Source organism: Homo sapiens, chromosome 5 (assembly GCF_000001405.40).
Source record: "Homo sapiens chromosome 5, GRCh38.p14 Primary Assembly".
Classification (NCBI taxonomy): Eukaryota; Metazoa; Chordata; class Mammalia; order Primates; family Hominidae; genus Homo; species Homo sapiens.
The window spans coordinates 148543942-148557824 of NC_000005.10; the positions used below are offsets into that span (position 1 = coordinate 148543942).

At 40.3% G+C, this 13883-nt stretch overlaps 1 protein-coding gene and 1 long non-coding RNA gene across 8 annotated transcripts in view; one reads left to right on the top strand and one right to left on the bottom strand.

Annotated features, from left to right (window-relative positions):
- HTR4 (5-hydroxytryptamine receptor 4) overlaps positions 1-13883 on the bottom strand; it is a 203496-nt gene that overhangs the window by 92910 nt on the left and 96703 nt on the right. For all 7 annotated transcript variants that reach the window (NR_104445.2, NM_001040169.2, NM_199453.3 and 4 more), the window contains 2 exons: positions 6196-6321; positions 4727-4927 (listed from right to left, as the gene is read on the bottom strand). Coding sequence is in view for 6 of the 7 variants with exons in the window: in NM_001040169.2 (NP_001035259.1) it covers positions 4727-4927; positions 6196-6321 (327 nt within the window). In the remaining variant the exon portion in view is untranslated. The remainder of the gene's footprint in view (positions 1-4726; positions 4928-6195; positions 6322-13883) is intronic.
- The window catches only part of LOC107986462 (uncharacterized), a 107158-nt gene that overhangs the window by 91112 nt on the left and 2163 nt on the right, over positions 1-13883 (top strand). Inside the window, exon 3 of the long non-coding RNA XR_001742935.2 lies at positions 6144-6410. This is a non-coding gene — a long non-coding RNA (uncharacterized LOC107986462). The remainder of the gene's footprint in view (positions 1-6143; positions 6411-13883) is intronic.

Here is a 13883-nt window from a genome sequence, read left to right on the forward strand (position 1 = left end):
AGAGGGAACTCCCAGCACTGAAGCAGAATGTTCTCAGAGAACTGAGGAATGTGCCATTCTAGCAACATTTTCAGTTAAAAGGCTATTGTGGATGGACTTGCATTTGAGAAGGTTACGTTCTAGCAAAGGGAAAATTGAAGTTTAAAATGTGTATTACAGAAATTAGTAAAACTGAAGGCCCCCAACCCCAATTTAACTGACCATCCACTCTGGCCAGCACTACACCGTATGCCCTACCCCTCAAATAACCACCTGTTAACGATTTGGTGAAAATTCATTCATGATCTTTCTTTTTCATTCTCAATCTCTCTCTCTTTCTTTCTCTCTCTCTCTCTTTCTCTCTTTCTCTCTCTCTCCACCTCTCTTTCTCTCTCTCTCCACCTCTCTTTCTCTCTCTCTCCACACACACTCATGTAAACCCAGATACATGCATCTCTATATTTATTTTACAAAAATGGAACTATGCTAAACATTAGAGTCTGCCAGTTGCTTTTTTTCCCCCAACATAATACACCAGTGATATATTTCTAGGACAACACACGTCATTATTTCTCATGGTTTTCAATGGCTGCCTTATATTTCACTTTTAAAACTAGTACTCTATCATGACTACTTGGTTAGCTTTTATTCACCACAGTACTTTAGATCTTAAAAAAATCAACTGTACTCTAAAGCTTTTAAAGCAGTTTTTGATCTCCTATGACCCATACTATATGGTGCATTTATTTTAATTATGCTTTGGAAATTATTTTTAAGGAGGCAATAAATTCTTATTAACAGAATTCAATTCTGAAAGCACCAGGAAGCACAGTGAGCTGAGAATGGGAGTTGGGAAAATGCATTTTGTAGTACTAAAGGAGTCCTACATTTTGCTTTGATCCAGGAGTCTGCCATCTGAGAAGAGTTACAAATTAAAGTGAGCCCTCTTGCTCAAAGGAACTACCCCTTATGATTGATCCCAGAAGACTTGTAGCAGCTCTAGAGAGAAGGACATGGCATACTGCCGGGAATAACATGGCTAACAAGGACATCACACCTCATTGAGACATTCACTCTGTGCTTTGGCCCAGCCCAGCTGAACCAAACTGTTAGGACGGGAAGGACACAGCAAAAACAGAGCTAGATGATAAATAAAACCATCCTCTTCCAGGCTAAAACATTGCCCTGTAATGTTCAGGATGGACCCTCCAGCACTATGAGGGAACGCTCTTGGGACAGGGAAAGCTGGAGACAAGCTGGAGGCAAGATCCCCAAGCTCCCCAAGGAAAATAAAACAAAAGAAACCCCATCTGATATCTTACTTATGGTATTGGAGTTTTTGACATACACTGTCAGAGAATGAAATGGAATTATTGGCATGACTCTCACAAAGAGAACGTGCTGACCACTCCATTTGTTCAATCGTGTTTGTCAAATACCTAAATAAGTATTTATGCAATGACTGTTTAATTGTCAACCTCCCCATAACAATGCAAGTTCTATGAGGGCAGGGATCTTGCCCTTGTTCGTAGCCTTGGGCTTCCTCCCATTGGAATAGAAAGACATTTAAGAAGAAAGTATAGACTTGATTTTAACTATAATTACACTGAGTTCTACAAAGGAGAAAAATGGTTTTGATGGAGTCAGCGAAGACTTCTGCAAAGAAGAGAAGATTTAGCTAAAATCTGAAAGACATGCAGGAGAGGAGGGGCAGAGGAAGTTTTCAGGCAGAGGGAAAAGCCAAGGCCTCAGGTGGCTGAGCAGAGAGCCCTGGAGAACTAGAAAGAAGGCCAAAGCAACTCGGGCCTGGAGGTGAGGTTAGGAAGGGGGTGAAGGGAAGCTGGGGACATGGACAGGAAACAGAGGGTGAAAAACCTTGTATGAGTCTGGTCTTGATCTTCAATGCAATGAATAGCCACTGAAGGGTTTTAAGCAAAGGAGCAACAGTATTAGAGCAGCATTTTAAAAGGATGGCTTTTGATCTTGTGAGCGACAAGTGGATGGGGAGGGAATAAAACATATTTGGAGGGAATAATTAGGAAAGTGTTGAGTGATTTCTTCAAGAAATGATATTACTTTGGATGAATGATAGAGAGAAATAGACTAGGATCTCTTTAGGAAAGAAAATGAGCAGGACTTGTCATTATTTAAATGTAGGAGGCAAGGAAAGACTGCTATCAGAATAACTACCTGGTTTCTAGATGATGCAAGCTGTTGGAGCAGCTATTCACTGAGGAGGTGCAAGTTTGATGAGAAAGATCATGAGTTGTATGGCTAGTTACAAGAAACTGACATGAACAACAACATCCACTAACATGGAATATTGTGACAAGCTGGGCCAAAGTGATGCCTTAAATGGATTATCCAATTTATACCTAACTGTAGTCATATAAAATAGGTGCTATCTCCCTAAGTTTTAGAGACAAGAAAGGCTTAGACTCAGAAAGGCTTAATCACTTATTCCCATTCCCAGAACTAAACATTTTAAAAGCTGGGATTTGAACCCAAATCTCTTCAATTCTAAAGCAGATGGTTCTTAATGACCAATTCATCCTGTTTCATGACAACTCATACCTACTCAGGAAAAGTTTCCTGATTTGAAAAGTACGTAGGCATAAATCTGAAGCCAAACCTGTCAAGGAAACCTCTAGACCTTCTCTCAGGGCTGCCCACAGCAAACTCTCCACAATGGACAGTTGATTCTACACTTTCTCCCATTTTTTTTCCTGGCTGACTGGCTCTTTTTCTTACTCCTGCTTTTACACAGGCCTTGAGGTTACCTCAGCTGCCCCTATCACCCCTGCCTGGTCTTCTCCAAATTCCTGTAGTACTTTCAGTCTCACTACTCATTTTAACAATGATCATATGCAGGTTACCCAGCAGGATTTCCATAGATTTTCTACTTCCTTACATTGTATTTCCTATAATACAAACTTTCATTCAGTGTATCCTGACTGTCTTTAAAAGTCTTTCATGTACTAAAGTCAGATTGTTGTAAACAAGCTAATAAACACAAATTTCCAACTATGCCATGCCATGGGTCTGGTTGCTTGCCATGAGTTCAATTTTACCAGAGTCATTATCTCTAGCTATAGAGTGGAGTCTCATTATACATGCATTTAACTTAAGCATATTCAACTATATGTTCTTGGCAGAGGAAAAGAGAAAGCAATTTAAATACAGCAGGCCATTATGACTACCATTCCAATCAATGCACATATGTCCCATGAAATAGGAGATGAACCTGCTGTCCCCTCAGCTGGTTTCAGTCTCTAAGTACCTCCCCCAGTGTGATTAATTCTCTGGGAAGACTATGATGTTAGTGTTTAAAAGTGTGTATGTTAGATATACCACAATCTCTAGTTTCAGTCAACTACTTTTCCTAGTCCTCAATTTAAAAAAAACAGTGATTGTCGGTGAAACCCCGTCTCTACTAAAAATACAAAAAATTAGCTGGGCCTGGTGGCGGGCGCTTGTAGTCCCAGCTACTCAGGAGGCTGAGGCAGGAGAATGGCGAGAACCCGGGAGGTGGAGCTTGCAGTGAGCCGAGATTGCGGCACTGCACTTCAGCCTGGGTGACAGAGCAAGACTTGGTCTCAAAAAATAAAAATAAAATAAAATAAAATAAAATAAAATAAAATAAAATAAATAAATAAAAATAAATGAAAATAAAAATAAAAAACAGTGATTGTCTGAGCACGATGGCTCACATCTGTAGTCCCAGCACTCTGGGAGGCTGAAGGCTGAGGATAACTTGAGCACAGTAGCTCGAGACCAGCCTGGGTAACATAGTGAGACTTGTCCCTATAAAAAATAAATAAGAATAAATAAAACTAAATTTTAAAAAAGTGATCTATCCCAAGACTGGAGGAAAACTTGGGTTTGTTGGGTTGCTCAAGACACAGTAAGAAATCATTGTCCCTGGCAATTCTGATTACATGTGATTTGCACCCCACATTTTTCTGAGAGCTAACCCCTAAGATACTACTACATTGATAACAGCATGTTTGTGTAGTCATCTGACTTTAGATTGCATTCTACCTTTATGATGAAATGTAAATTAGCAGGAATTGGAAAATGAATAGTGATGGTACAAGTGATAAATACATAAATCTGCAACAAATGAGGCAAAGATGAAAATCATTAGGTCCCCTGAAGTCAAATATGAAGAAAGAAAATAAAATTATGCCACAAGAATGAAATGCTAGATCTGGGTCCAAAAATCATAAAATTATTGGGAAGTTTACTGTAACTTTCTGGAAAAGAGTCTCCACAATTATATGCACATACATAAATATGTATATCAAATTATTACAGAAACATATTTTCAAGAAAAGGTTATGTTCAAACATAGGGCATTTTCATTCTGAACCACCCCTGCTGCCCTCTGGGAAGATGTACTCATTCTTGATGCTTAGCTTCTTCAGAATTTTGTTCATGCCATCAGTATAAAATTTACAGCTCTATAGTAAACTTGATTGCTGACATCTATTGCTATTTAGATTGCAATCTCCTTGCAGACAAGTTATAGGTCTTACTAATCTGTGCATCTACAGTGCCTCAGAGAGGGCCTGACTAAAAAGGGGGCCTCTGCAAAGGCTGGAGAATGACTGTATAACTGAATTATCAAATTTACCTCTCTGAGATTCATTTCTTCTAATGAATAAGAAAAGGCAGACACTGCCCAATATCCATCAAGTCATGTCTCCAGCATGGAGCTCCGCTATGCACATTGTTCTGTCCTTACCTATCCAGAGAAATGCAGCACAGGTGAAAAATCGATGCCGTTGTGAGCAGGACGTCCAGAGATGTCCGAACAAGACAAAACACCTCCCCATAAATCCAGATGTCTTGAACCAGCTCAATGGCACCAAAGGGCATCACCAGCACCGAAACCAGCAGATCCGCAAAAGCAAGAGATACAATGAAATAATTTGTTTTTATTTTCCTGTGAGTGAAAAAGTGTAAGAGAGGAGGCAGGGGGAGGGATGAAGGGAAAAAGGGGAGGGAGAAGAGATCAAGAGAAAAAACAGGGAAAAGGGAAACAAAGAAAGAAGAAAAGAAGGGAGGGGGAAAGAGGAAAGAAAAAGTCACATGCTTAGTGTATTCCGTGAGATTCAATTTCCCCTTCTGTAACATGGCTGAGAAGACCCAGCGTGGTCCAGCCTCTCCTGACTTCTCCAGACCTACCTTATACCAAAACCTCTTTTTTCCTCCCCCTTCTGGCCACCCTGCCCTAATCTGAGTTTCCCTGCACATATAGGTCCCTTTTGAGGGCCAATGCAGATGTTCTTTCTTCCAACGGTTGCCTGGTTAATCCCACCCACCCGTCAGTCCTTGGTCGGGCATTCTCAGGAAACTCTCCCAAGGTATGCCCTGTGACTGTAGTCACAGTCCACCATTTTACACTAGCAGACTGGCTACTGTGTACTCACATTTATAACACTGGTCAGAATTGCGCTTTTGCACTTTATTTGCATCATCATTAGATGTGTGGATGTCTTACTTAGAGAGGAACTGCTTCGTTATACCCTCTTATGGCCCAGAGGCTCTCATCCCAGGCTGTACACTAGAATCACCTGATGCATTTTAATAAGTATTGATGCTGAGGTCTCACCCCAGATCAGTTAGTTCAGGCACCCTGGGGAGTTAACGCCTCTCCCCTCAAAGATTACCAGATACAATACAGGATGCCTGATTAGATTTGAACTTTAGCAATAAATCACTTTTTAAATATAACTATGTCCAAAATACTACATGAGACATACTAATACCACACGATGATAGTTTTTCAAAGTGCTTCAGGTGGTTCTAATTGCAGCCAGGGTTGAGACTGATGAAGTAGAAGTGCAAAAAACACAGGTTTAATTTCTAGATCTGTCCCTTGTCAGCCACATCTTCCCTAAACCATTAATAAAATGGGGAGGTTAGATTATATGTGCTCTCAACAATTGTATATATAGTGATCACAACTATAAACACATTTGACAAAGAAAAAAATGACAGGATGGAAATACACTGAAATGTTTACACTGGTTGTATTAGAGTTGTAGGATTAATTGCAATCCCTTTTTCTCCCCTTTTATTTTTAAAATGTTGTTCCCATGAATGTTTTCTTTCTTAATTACAAATTCTAATAGAAATGTTCACACCCAACTCTCTAGGGACAGCTCAGAACTCCCATGTTTCCTCAAAAGGTTCCCTCCTGCTGCTCACCTGAGCTGCCTGTCCCAGCACACAGCCACCATCACCAGCAGGTTCCCCAAGATGGCCATCAGGATAACCGTCGAGAGAAACGTGAGCAGCACCACCTTCTCCACTGACCCGAAACCCTCCTCAGAACTGAAAGACACACACAAGCACAAAGAATTGAATGAAACTCTGGGACACAAGAAGGAAAATTCGTCTTTTCATCATTGACCTTCAGAAAGGTAACTTCACCATCAGCTGATGACACATATATTTATCATGCGTTTAATGTACACCAAAATCTGAACCGGTCGCTTGACATTTTATCCTGGTTAGCTCCTACATAAGAGGAGTATGAGGCTTAGAGAGCTGAATTAACAGGTTATTTTCCATCCAAGCACTTGTGGCTTTCCTTCAGGGCATTTAGTTCAACTAGCATTCAGACATATGTAGTTGATGCCTGTTTTGTGCACCTACTCAACTAGATTGCAAAAGCTGAGTGAATGAATGATAGTAACTTTGCAACTGCAGGAGCAGCCCAATTTGGTCCAACTTTGTGTATAAAATGGTGAGTTGTGTTTTAGTTGCCATGGACCCCCAGGTTGCAAGTTAAACTGACCAGGCCCAGATGAACCAAGCATGCAACCACAGGGTGGAACCTAAGTGCTTGGACCAAGGCATGGGGACCAAATAAAGAAGTGGACGTCTCATGGCATGATCCACGATCCAATCATATAGAGCCCTAGCATCACCTTGTGGCATAATCCAGTCAGATCATACCTCTTGGCATTAACTTATCACAAGATCCAATCAGATCACACCTTATTACCCTCTACCTATAAAACCTGCCACAGCCCCCAGCTCAGGGGGACAGATTTGAGCTTTGCCTCCTGCTTCCTTGCCGATCAACTTACAATGAAGCCTTTTTTTTTTTCCTCAAAAGCCAGGGCCATAGTATTGGCTTCTATAAACATCAGCAAGGAGCCCACTGCTTGCTCAGTAGCAACTTGAACTGGTTGTTACTGAGCAAGTTACTTTGCATTCATACAGTTACTTGGCCTGAATGCAAAGCCATCTTGTTACAGTGTCCCATTCCAGCCCATGCAGAAGCTTCTGCTTACAGGTAGGTTCTCCCAGAGAGAAAAGATTGTGGTGTGATGGTTGTTCTTACATCAGTTCACCTGGACAAATTGAATTCAGATTCTGTGAAGTCTGTTGGAGAGATAGTAGCCAATAAATAAGCTCAGTGGCTCCTTTCACCACCCTGATCATTTCTTTTAGTGCCCACAATATGTCATTGTTTTCCCAGTTCAAATTTGTGTTCTTGTCAAGTTCAGCATCTGATTTAGTCTACAAATGTTGCCTTCCCCATGTAAACTCAGCATTTTGTTTTATTAACTTGAAAATGAAGATCCCTTTTCAATGAAAGCATGATATCTGCAGATTAATATTCAGAAGCTATAGGGATTTTAAAAACTTTTATAGTATAATAAAATGTTCTTTTTAATGAAGTTTCAAAGAATCTTAAAACTCTTAGACCAGCGGTGTCCAATCTTTTGGCTTCCCTGGTCCACATTGGAAGAAGAATTGTCGTGGGTCACACATAACATACACTAACACTAACAATGGCTGATGAGCTAAAAAACAAATTGCAAAAAAATCTCATAATGTGTTAAGAAAGTTTATAAATTGGGTTGGGCTGCATTAAAAGCTGTCCTGGGCTGCCTGTGCCCCGACAGGCCATGGGTTAGACAAGTTTGTCCTAGACCCAAACCCCACATTTGAATATGGGAAAACCAGGGCCCAGAAAAGAAGAGCTGACTTGTCAGAGCGTGCTAGTGGCTGGTCTGGGAGAGGCTGCTTGTCCTGTGAGCCCACCACTGAGAACACACAGTTCCAAAAATCAAGAATTCTCTGTCTTTCCTGAGCTCTTTTGACTGAAAATTAAGGTGCATGCCCTCTCCAGATGGAAGCAGCCTGCAAAGTCATGGCTTTGGCCTTGTCCAGAACTTCTGTTAAGCTGGCACAGAAGACAAGGGGCCAAAGGGAATGAGGAACCAGTCTGGCAGCAGTTGGAGAATGAGAAAGTCCCTCCATTCAGCTGAGAAGTATTTTTATAGGCAGATTGATAGATTGTTTATGACTGAAGTTCAGATGAAAAGAAATTCCAGATATGCTTATTTAAATCACCCTTCTACACTTAAGTTCTAACTATCAACAGTACAAATATCAGATAGGGAAGATTTAATTCAATGAGGAAAACTGTACACTTAGAAAAAAGACCTTAATAGGCTGATGTGGCCACCAAAAATTCATTTGATCTTAGGTCATGTTAGTTGAGTTAAAGCACTAACAAAGGAGGTGATGGTGGTTCTCTTCCCTGTCCTTCTTAGAGACTAACGGCCCCCCTGAAACTCATCTCTTCCACCCCCAGGGCCTCTGTATTTGAGGTGCCTTCTTCCTGGAATGATTCTTCAGTGACAGACTTCTTGTCATTCAGGCCTCAGATTAAATTTAACCCCCAGTTAGTGTACCACAGCCAACAAACATTTTTCATTTTCTTTACAGCATTTACTGTTATCTGAAATGACTTCTGTTATTGTTTTCTGTGCCCCAATTCCACAGATTGACTTTTGTTATCTTTTTCACTACAATCTCCAGTGTCTGGCACAATATCTAGTCTAGAGTATGTATTAATGTACATGAAATGCTATGTATTAATATTACATATGTAGATGATGCATTACATAGTAAGTGCTCAATTACTTGCTGATTCAGTGAAAGAGAGATATATTGTGCTCATAATGGTTATATTTATTATTCAATGTCTTTGAAGCCTGGTTGAAAGTATAGAGATTTCACCTAGAGAAAAGAAGGCCCAGAGATGAAATGCAAAAGCTACTTGCAGCTATCTGAGCGCTGTCATTTGAAATAAGAGTAGATTCACATATTCATTCATTTAACAATTTCTGAGCACCTACTCTGTGTTAGGCATTGTTGTATGTCCTAGGGAAACAGCAATAAGCAAAACAGAGAGAAAAACAGACAATAAACAGATGCATGAGACAGTATGTAAGGTGTCAGCTGATAGTACAGTCCATGGCAAAAAAAAATATCTAGGAGGGTAAGGAGGACTGGATGGCCTGTGGCGGATTGCAGACTGGCTATTTAATAAAGGATGTCAGGGAAGGTTCAATGATAAGGTTATCACAGGTTGTGAGGCTAACTAAGACCAGTGGGTGAACTTTAAGCAGTGGTTCCCAGCCTTACCTGCATATTTAAGTTACCTGAGGAGCCTTAAAAAATGCTGATTCTGGGAATCCACCCTCAGAGGTGCTGATTTAATTGGTCTGAGTTGCAGCTTGGATAGAGAAATTTTTAAAATCTCCCAAGTGACTCTGATGTGTAATGAATTAGAGTCACTGACAGGGAGGCAAGATTTAGTACCAGATAATAAGAGCCTTCTAACAATTAAAGATGATCTGCAATAGCTTCCCGGTGTTGTTTTGTGTTCCCTGGCACAGAAAGTGTTTAAGAATACCAGAATGGCAATGAGATACTAATTTGCACTCATTAGGATGGCAATTATAAAAAATAAAACAACGAATAAAAAATAACAAGTGTTGGTGTGAATGTGGGGAAATGGAAACACTTGTGCATTGCTGGCGGGAATGTAAAATGCTACAGCCACTGTGAAAAACAAGTTTGATGGTTTCTCTAAAGGTTAAATATAGAATGCCTATGTGATCCCCCAATTCAATCCCAGGGGTACACCCGAAAGAATTGAAAGCAGGGATACAAACAGACACTTGTATACCAACAGTCTATAGCAGCATTATTCACAAGAGCCCAAAGGTGAACACAGCCCAAGTTTCCATTAATAGATAAGTGAATAAATAGAATGTGGTATATACATACTACAAAATTTTATTTCTCTATAAAAAGGAATAAAGTTTGTTGTTGTTGTTGTTGTTGTTGTTTTTGAGATGGAGTTTTGCTCTTGTTGCCCAGGCTGGAGTGCAATGGCGCGATCTTGGCTCACTGCAACCTCTGCCTCCCGGGTTCAAGTTATTCTTCTGCCTCGGGCTTCCAAGTAGCTGGGATTACAGGAATATGCCACCATGCCTGGCTAATTTTGTATTTTTAGTAGAGACGGGGTTTCTCCATGTTGGTCAGGCTGGTCTCGAACTTCTGACCTCAGGTGATCCGCCCGCCTCGGCCTCCCAAAGTGCTGGGATTACAGGCATGAGCCACCGCGCCCGGCCAGGAATGAAGTTTTGATACATGCTACCACATGGATGAACCTTAAAAATAAATGAAACAAATAAATAAGTGAAATAAATCACACACAAAAGGAGAAGTATTGTGATTCCACTTACATGAGGATTCTAGACTCAGAAAATTCATAGGGAAATTAAATAGAAAAGTAGTTATCAGGGACTGGGAGCACAGGTGAATGCGGAGTTATTATTTAAGAATTATAGAGTGTTTGGAATGATGAAAAAATTCTGGAAGTGGATAGTTGTAATGGTTGCACACCACTGTGAATGTTCTTTTTTTAGCTTTTTATTTTAGGTCCAGAGGTACATGTGCAGGTTTGTTATACAGGGGGTTTGGTGTACAGATTATTTCATCATCCATATAATAAGCATTGTTTGATAGGTAGTTTCTTGATCCTCACCCTCCTCCCACCTTCCACCCTCACGTAGGTCCCAGTGTCTGTTGTTCCCTTCTTTGTGTCTGTAATGTACTCAGTGTTCAGCCCCCACTTGTAAGTAAGAACATGCTGAATTTGATTTTCTGTTCCTCTGTTAGTTTTCTTAGGATAATGGCCTCCAGCTCCATCGATGTTGCTGCAAAGGACATGACCTCATTCTCTTTTGGGGCTTAATATCACTAAATTATATGCTTAAAATGCTTATTTTATATATTAATAATAAATTTTATTATTTATATTTTAGCATTATATAAAAAAAGAATTCCTGGATGACCACATATCAAGGTACTGTACAGGGCTCCTATATTGGGGGCAGGCTGGCCTGGCTGTTTTAGGTCGCTTTTTTGTCTATGGACTGTGATTTAAACATATCCTTATAACATGAATTCTCCATCAACACCACCACCACCATAAGAATAATCTTTCTTATACTGTCTTTACTCTTGTAAAAGAAGAAAACAGATTCAGAGCGTCTGTGATGAACATCTCTGGCTCCAGAGAAGGTACATTTTGAACCAAGTGGGAATGTCAGGGTTAGAGAGCACCAAGTTCAATGTAATGGTTCATTTGTGGCATGCCAATTAGGAGTTAGAAATAGCTTAACTTTAAACTAGGAGTGACGAGCAAAATTTAAGCATAGAAGAAGCTTTTTAAATTAGGCAGAACTGTCCATTGAACTAAAAGTAAGTCCAGTAATGACAATTAAAATAAATTCCAAACCACTTCTGCAAAATTCATGTTAGGTCCTTGGGTTGCCTCTGACACCCTCAAGCAATCCTGTCAACCACAACTGGACAGCTTTCATCTGGCTGAAGAGCTGTCCACTCCACTAAATTGGTTCGTTGACAGCTATTCTTATGAGAAATTTTACTTTCTCTTCTTTTTTGCTTTCTCCGTGATCTTTTGATCCATTAATAAACTCCACAAACTTGTGGGCTGGTTTTGCCATTTTCTCTGCTCTTCATGAAAGAAAATATAAAGACACAAATTCTGGGTAAATTTCCACATAGGTTAGTATATGTGAAAATGGACTGTGAATGATAAAGTATGATAAATAAGTGATTATTGTTATTAATAATGATAGAGACAATAGCAAAGGAAATCTTAGGTTATACTTTGTCACACACACACACACACACACACACTCTCTCTCTCTCTCTCATACTTTCTGGAGAGTCAAGAACATTTTTTGTTGTTATTTATTTATTTATTTTTGAGACAGAGTCTTGCCCTGTCCCCCAAGCTGGAGTGCAGTGGCACAATCTCAGCTCACTGCAACCTCTGCCTCCTGGGTTCAAGTGATTCTCCTGCCTCAGCCTCCCAAGTAGCTGGGATTACAGGCACCTGCCACCACACCCAGCTAATTTTTGTATTTTTAGTAGGGACAGGGTTTCGCCATGTGGGTCAGGCTGGTCTTAAACTCCTGACCTCAGGTGATCTGCCCGCCTCGGCCTCCCAACTTGCTGGGATTACAGGCATGAGCCACCACGCCCAGACTTTATTGTTATTTTTTGTGGGCTTTTGCACTGGTTTTGTTCATAAACAGCTGTATGACTTCAAAAAATTCACTTGACTTTTCTGAGCCTCAGTTTCTTCATGGATCAATTGAGAAAGTTAGATTAAATTTCTTATTCATCAAATATGTATTGAGTGCCAACTATATACCAAGGACTGTGCTGAGTACTAGATTCAATAGTAAAGAAAATGGACAAATTTCCTGACCTCATGGGGTTCATAGTATGGATGGAAACAGACATAAGCAAATGCACAATTAAATAAATAAATACAGTTTGTGATCAGTTCTTCCCAGTTCCATTTCCCAAATGTTAATATTTATATTAATCCACTGAGGATCTTGATAAAACGCAGATTCTGATTTTTTTTAGGCTGAGGCAGGGTCTGGGATTCTGCAGTTCTCACAGACCCCTAGGCATTGCTGATGCTGCTGGTTCCTGAGTCACAGGTGGAGTAGCAAAGTATAAAAGGTGTAAACATGACATTATGATAGAAAACACGCTGGCTTAGAGAGAAGTGTGAGGTGGTTGGGAAACACTGGAGGTGACAGTCAACTGAGTTCTGATGTATGCAGAGAATTTGGAAGTCAGAGGAACCAGGATAAGTGCATTGCATTCAAAGGGAAGAGCAACTGCAAAAGCCCTGAGACAGAAAAGATTTTTCATGTTCACTATCACAGGGGAAATGAGCAAGGGACTGAGCATCTGAGATGAGCTCAGACAAGTAGTCGGAAGCCAGACCCTGAGGGCTTTTTTGTGCTCTAGGGAGAAGTTTATGTTCTATTGGAAGATCAATGAGAAGACACAGAAGTGATGTAAGCAGAGTAATGACATGGGGGCAGGGGTGATAATATGCCAGGGGTTTCTGCAGGAGTCCAGGTAAAAGAAGATGGTAGTTAAAAGTAGCATGGTGGCTGGGGAGATGGAGAGAAGTGGGTGGAATAAAGGTTTTTTGGGGAGTAAAGAGATAGATAACAAAAATAGATTCCATGAGTGAGTGGGAAGAAGCACAAATAAACGCCATATTTTAGAATTGCATATCTGAATAAATGTTGGTACAATTTAATGAGATGGGTGAAACACATTAAGTGTGAGATACCTATAGGACATTCGAGTGAAGACGTCAAGTAGGCAATTGGATGTATGTGTGTCTGGAGCTCAGAGGGATGACTGGGCAGGAGATACATGCTTGGAATTGCCAGCACTTCTATGGGATTTAGAGAACTGAGGAAGGATGTGATCACCCAAGAAGAGGGTCAGGGTCTTGATGAACAGCAGTACTGAGATGTGCAGTAGAGAAGGTAGAACCAGCAGAGGAGACTGTGAAAGACTATCCAGGATGTTCTGGGGACATCAGATGAGAGCGGTATTTTGGAAGCCAAGAGGAACATTTCAAGTGAATATATGTATGTATAATACATATATATAATATATTATATAATATATATATTAGGAATATATAAATATATATATTCTTGATACTT